Source organism: Homo sapiens, chromosome 15, assembly GCF_000001405.40.
Source record: "Homo sapiens chromosome 15, GRCh38.p14 Primary Assembly".
Lineage (NCBI taxonomy): Eukaryota > Metazoa > Chordata > Mammalia > Primates > Hominidae > Homo > Homo sapiens.
In genome coordinates this window covers 23,403,431-23,410,146 of record NC_000015.10, presented here as the reverse complement: position 1 = coordinate 23,410,146, position 6,716 = coordinate 23,403,431, and the positions used below count along the sequence as shown (strand labels likewise).

At 46.6% G+C, this 6,716-nt stretch overlaps 1 long non-coding RNA gene across 1 annotated transcript; it reads right to left on the bottom strand.

Moving 5' to 3' along the window:
* Nucleotides 1-2,811: 2,811 nt before the first annotated feature.
* On the bottom strand, nucleotides 2,812-6,304 carry LOC105370728 (uncharacterized). The gene is made up of 2 exons (XR_931977.3): nucleotides 6,039-6,304; nucleotides 2,812-3,187 (listed from the first exon to the last, which is right to left on the bottom strand). It is a non-coding gene; the product is annotated as an uncharacterized LOC105370728 (long non-coding RNA).
* Between the last annotated feature and the right edge of the window lie 412 nt (nucleotides 6,305-6,716).

Here is a 6,716-nt window from a genome sequence, read left to right as displayed (position 1 = left end):
GTCAACTTCTGCAACTTCATGCTAAAAATTTATCAATGTCAATTTTTTAAATGTGCAAAAATATGTTAACAGCATTAATCAAGAAGATAGGACAGTACCTACGCATCCCTTTTCCCCATATGCACTGATTTTAATGAAATTGCTGCTGTTTATGAAATACACATGACTGGTAAATATTTTTTTTTTTTGAGACAGCGTCTTGCTCTGTTGCCCAGGCTGGAGTGCAGTGGCACCATCTCAGTTTACTGTAACCTCCATCTCCCGGGTTCAAGTCATCCTCCCCTCTCAGCCTCCTGAGTAGCTGAGATTACAGGCATGCAGCACCACACCCGGCTAATGTTTGGTAGAGACGGGGTTTCTCCACGTTGGCCAGGCTGGTCTCGAACTTCTGACCTCAGGTGATCCACCCGCCTTGGCCTCCCAAAGTGCTGGGATTACAGGTGTGAGCCACTGTACCCGGCCACTGGTAAAGATTTTAAATATTGCAGTTGAGCCTTCTGTGAATGTTTTTGTTTTGTTTTGTTTTCTTTTTCTTTTCTTTTTTCTTTTTTTTTTTTTTTGAGACAGAGTCTCTCTCTGTTGCCCAGGCTGAAGTGCAATGGCATGATCTCAGCTCACTGCAACCTCCGCCTCCCAGGTTCAAGTGATTCTCATGCCTCAGCTTCCTGAGTAGCTGGGATTACAGGTGCCTGCCACCATGCCCGGCTAATTTTTGTAGTTTTAGTAGAGATGGGGGTTTCACCATGCTGGCCAGGCTGGTCTCGAACTCCCAACCTCAGGCAATCCACCCACCTTGGCCTCTCAAAGTGTTGGGATGACAGAAGTGAGCCACTGTGCCCAGCCGCCTTCTGTGAATATTTTATTAAGTTCCCATATAGCCCAGTTCACTAGCGGAAATAAGCAGCAGGGAGACTGGCACATTATATCTCCCATTATTAGATTAATACTTTAAAAAAATCTTAGGACTTTCATTAATTTTTTTTTCTGCCCAAAACATTCATTTTCACTGAAAGGCTTTGGTCTCAATCTATTCTGAAAAACTGGGGTTTCTTTGTATGTGAACTGATTCAGGAGTTCGCATTCTTCCAGGGTGACATAAATCCTGCACCCTTGGGGAAGGGCAATAATATAGATTGCATTCTTGCCTTCGGTAGGTGGACACATTATCCTGGGACCCCAGGGAGCACTTTCTAGACTTTTCTCCCAGTTATATCCACGAGGGACAGGCTCGTGACTGCAAGGACTTCAGCTCCCTGCCAAGCCAAAGACACAAGAGCAGGGGCCCCCTAAAGCCTAAAGGGAAACCAGAAGGTTTCCCTTTATGACGCTCATTCACTCAAAAAGCACCGCATGTCCCATAAACCTGACCTCAACTCCTCTCAGGGAGAAAAAACTGGGTTGAACTAGTGCACATTTATTTTTTTCTATAGGAAACTTTATGGCATTTTTTTTTTTTTTTTTTTGAGACGGGGTCTCACTCTGCAGTCCAGGCTGGAGTGCAGTGGCCCAATCTCAGCTCACTGCAGCCTCTGCCTCCCAGGTTCAAGCCATTCTCCCACCTCAGCTGGGAGTAGCTGGGATTACAGGTGTGTGCCACCATGCCCGGCTAATTTTTTTGTATTTTCAGTAGACAGGGTTTCGCCATGTTGGCCAGGCTGGTCTTGAACTCCTAACCTCAAGCGATCCACCCGCCTCAGCCTCCCAAAGTGCTTGTATAGGAAACTTTGTAAAATGCTGCATACACCAGCCTCTGCCTGAGCATTAGCAGTTTGGAGAGAGGGAGGAACACAGAGCTACGTTATCTCTCCAGAGGGGCCAAGTCCCACCCCTGCTTGTTGCTTTGTGACTTTGTGCAAGTGTCTGGGTTCACAATGGTGAGTGGGGGAACTGAATTAGAAGGGCTCTAGCCCTTTTCCCTCTGAAATCTTACCATTCTGTGAACCCTCCTGCTGGGCTTGGGGATCTTTATTTTTGAAGAAATAGTGATTGTAACACCCGGTGCGGTGGCTCACGCCTGTAATCCCAGCACTTTGGGAGGCTGAGGTGGGCGGATCACGTGAGGTCAGGAGTTCAAGATCAGCCTGGCCAACATGGTGAAACCCCGTCTCTCCTACAAACACGAAAATTAGCCAGGCATGGTGGCAGGCACCTGTAACCCCAGCTACTCGGGAGGCTGAGGCAGAAGAATCACTTGAACCCGGTTGTAGTGAGCCGAGATCGTGCCACTGCATTCTTGCCTGGGCAACAGAGCAAGACTCCGTCTCAAAAGAAAAAAAAAAGAAAAAGAAAAAAAGAAGAAAAAGAAGTAGTAATTGTACTAATTGGCTGGAGGGCATGGGGAATCTGAACTGTCAAAGGGGAGAAGTCAGGAAAATTGAATGTTAGACACAGCCCACCTTGTCTCCTAGAGGAGCTTGGCGAAAAGCTTGGGAAGCAGACACTAGATAGTGGCCCTTCACTAAAAACCACATCTCCGGCCAGGAGTGGTGGCTCACACCTGTAATCCCAGCACTTTGGGAGGCCGAGGCAGGCAAATCACCTGGGGTTGGGAGTTCGAGACCAGCCTGACCAACATGGGGAAACCCCGTCTCTACTAAAAATACAATAATAATAATAATAATAAAATAATAATTAAAAAACCATGTCTCGTTAGTCACTTCCTGGGTGCTGGCAAACTGGATATGGGTACATTACAGATTTACCTCATTCCATCCTCACAACGGCCCTTTGGAGTAGGTATGAGTGGTGTTATTGGCCGGGTGCAGGTCTGTCCTGCCCGCGTGCAGTAAATCAGTCACTGTGACTATGACATGGGTTTTGCAAAAGAGAAAGGATTTATTTGCAAGGCCACCAAACAAGGTGGTAGAACAGCTCTCACATCCTGCTTCCTGAAGATAAGGCTTAGGGATATTTATGCGTTAGGGAAACACGGTGGTGTAAGGCATGGGGAAAGGTGATTGGCAGTAGGGAAAAATTAATTGATAGGTTTGTTCTGCACAAGCGTAGTAGTCAGGGTTTGTGGCATTTCACAGGACATGTGTACAGAAAGTGGTGGCATTAGCATGATCTGAGGGTGGGATCTTTGGCCCTCTGACATCAAAAGTCCACTTCTTGGGCATTTGGGCAGGCCCATTGAAGAATTGGTGGTCCCAACCTGATTGAACTGGATGGGAGCTGGCCTAAGTTCCTGAAAAACAACGGAAGCAAACATTACCATAGTGACCTGTGAATGTGATCTCTAAAGAAGCTAGTGAAGGGTACATTTCAGCATTTAACGCCACGGTATTCAGCTACCACAGCCTTCAGCTATGACTGTCTTCAGCTTCATAGGAAAAGAAGAAAAAGGACAGGCATGGTGGCTCATGCCTGTAATCCCAGTTTTTTGGGAGGCCAAGGTGGGAGGATCGCTTAAGCCCAGTTTAAGACCAGCCTGGGTAACATAGTGAGACCTTGTCTCTATTATAATAAAAAAAATTGACACAGCAGGCAAGGAAGGAAGGAGGAAGGGAAGGGAGGGAGGGAAGGGGGAAGGAAGGAAGGAAGGAAAGAAGGAAGGAGAAGGAAGGGAGGAAGGAAGGAGAAAGAGAGAAAGCAAGAGAAAGAAGATAAAGAAAAAAGGAGAAAAAAGAAAAATTAATAAAACAAGCAAGTGACCAAAGCAAGCGGGGCAGCCAGACCTGATCAAATTAACCCCTCAGTTTTGGTGACAGTGACTATTCATTGCTTCCCTGTCTCCAGCCTTCCCTTCCTTCTTAGTAACAGAATCCTAGAAATGTGTCTAGCTGGAAAACTATTGTATTAGTTAGCTATTGCTGTGTAACAAATAAGCACAACACTTAGCTCCTGAAATCAAAACAAAAAAGTTTGGCATCTCATGTTTTCAGTGAGTCCTCTGGCTCAGGTCTCTTGTGAGATCGCACTGAGATTTCTGCAAGGGCTGCCATCATCTGAAGGTTAATCTGGGGAAGGATCTTCTTCCCAAGCTCACTCATGATAAGACTGTTGCACTAAGGGCCTCAGGTCCTTGCTAGCTGTTGACCAGAGGCATCAGTTTCTCTTTTTTTTTCTTTTTTTTTTTTTTTTGAGACAGATTCCTTCTCTGTCACACCACGACACTGGCTAATTTTTGTATTTTTAGTAGAGACGGGGTTTCATCATGTTGGCCAGGCTGGTCTCAAACTCCTAACCTCAAGTGATCCACCCACCTCAGCCTCCCAAAGTGCTGGGATTACAGGCGTGAGTCACTTTGCCTGGCAGAGGCATCAGTTTCTTGCCATGTGGGCCTTTCCAGGGAGCACCTCACTACCTGGTGGCTGGTTTTCCTCAGAGCAAGACAGGATGCCCAAGACAGAACTGTCATCTCTTTGAAACCTAATCTCAGAAGGAACATCCCATCACTTTTACCACAGATGTTGATATGGTTTGGCTGTGTCCCCACCCAAATCTCAACTTGAATGATATCTCTCAGAATTCCCCCATGTTGTGGGAGGGACCTGGGGGGAGGTAACTGAATCATGGGGGCCGGTCTTTCCCGTGTTATTCTTGTGATAGTGAATAAGTCTCATGAGATCTGATGGGTTTATCAGGGGTTTCCGCTTTTGCTTCTTCCTCATTTTTCTCTTGGGGCCACCATGAAAGAAGCGCCTTTTGCCTCCCGCCGTGATTCTGAGGCCTCTCCAGCCATATGGAACTGTAAGTCCAATAAAATCCCTTTTTATTCCCAGTCTCGGGTATGTCTTTATCAGCCGCATGAAAATAGACTAATGCAGATGTTATTGCAGCTAGACATGGTTATGTGACTAAATTCTATTCTTCTAGCCATAGTCTATTGGTTAGAAGAAAGTTACTGGGTCCAGCCACACTCAAAGCAAGTGGGAATACAAATACAAATACAAATTTCCCCTCTTCCTCACAAGGGGGAAAATGCTGGAATAAAGGGATTAATGGGGACTTTTGGGGAGTGGAGAAGGGGCTTTTTTTTCCCTTGAGACAGAATCTCACTCTGTCACCCAGGCTAGCATGCAGTGGCGTGATCATAGCTTACTGTAGCCTTGAACTCCTGGACTCAAGTGATCCTCCCACCTCAGCCTCCCAAGTATCTGGGACTACAGGTATGCACCACCATGCTCAGCTAATTTTGAAATTTTTTGTAGTGACAGGGTCTCACTATGTTGCCCAGGCTTGTCTGGAACTCCTAGGCTCAAGTAATCCTCCTGCCTTGGCCTCCCAAAGTGTGAGCCACTGCACCCAGTGATATTGGAGGCATTTTTGAGGCTACCTACCGCAGCTACCTTTCCCAGATGTTCTTGCAGATAGGCATGGCCAAATTTTTTTTTTATTATTATTTTTTTAGAGACGGGGTCTCACTCTGTCACCGAGGCTGGAGTGTAGTGGTGCAATCACAGCTCACTGCAGCCTCAACCTTCTGGGCTCAAGTGTTCCTTCCACCACAGCCTCCCAAGTAGCTGGAATTACAGGCCTGTGCCACCACGCCCGGATAATTTTTATTTTTTTGTAGATAGTATGCCACTATGTTACCCAGGCTGGTCTTGAACTTGTGGCCTCAAGTGATCTGCCCACCCCATTTCAGCTACTGTATTCAGACCTCTGTTACTCTCAGTTGAACCTAATTGTAAATATTGCAGTATTACTGTCCCCCCTCCATTGTACAGAAGAAAGTCGAAGTTCCAGCCAGGCGCGGTGGCTTGTGCCTGTAATCCTAGCACTTTGAGAGGCTGAGGCGGGTGGATCATTTGAGATCAGGAGTTCGAGACCAGCCTGACCAACATGGCAAAACCCTGTTTCTACTAAAAATACAAAAATTAGCTGGGCATGGTGGTACACGCCTGTAGTCCCAGCTACTCTAGAGGCTGAGGCACGAGAATCGCTTGAATCCAGGAGGCAGAGGTTGCAATGAGCTGAGATTGCACCATTGCACTCCAGACTGGGTGACAGAGCAAGACTCCATCTCAAAAAAAAAAAAAAAAAAAGGAAAAGAAAGAAAAGAAAACCGAGGTTCCTAGGTACATAGGACTTACCCAAGGTCAGAAGCAAGTAAGTGGTTGAGGCTGAGCTTGACTTCCAATTTGTTTCACTACAAACCACGTCTTTCCTGCAATGCTTCTATTTTTTTTTCTTTTTTGAGACGGCCTCTTCCAATGCTTCTAGAGAGAGATCTATGGGGGTGGTGGTGTCAACCAGAGCTCCTGCCTTATCTTTTAGACAATTTTCACTATGTGAAGTCAAACGGGAGACAGGAGTGCTATGTGACAGCAGCCTGGCAAAGCAGTCCCTTTGCTAAGGCAGGGAGGTTTTATGACTGGTTTTATTTATCAGGCTGCCTGCCTGTCCTGTGGGGACACTCAGCAAGGGAACATTGTGGACTGGGAAACTGTTGGTTTGGGAAATGTTCCCAATTTCAGCATAAGTGATAGGGAAGGCTGGACTGAAAGGGCAAAAAGTCGGAATAACAGCGTGTCTGGGAAGGATCTGGGCTGTGTCTGAAGCGGGTCAGTGCTGTTGTAGACTGAAGACTTGGCAGGGCAAGGCCAGTAGCAATGCCCTTCTAGAGGAGGGACAGGGAGATTGAAAAGCCCCAACTCATGAGGCCATCTCCTTCTGGAGAAGATCTTAATCAGATCCCCACGGGAGGATGATGGAAGTTTCTTGTTGAGATGGGTCATCCCCTAACCACGGAACTCCAGTTCAGTCCCTGG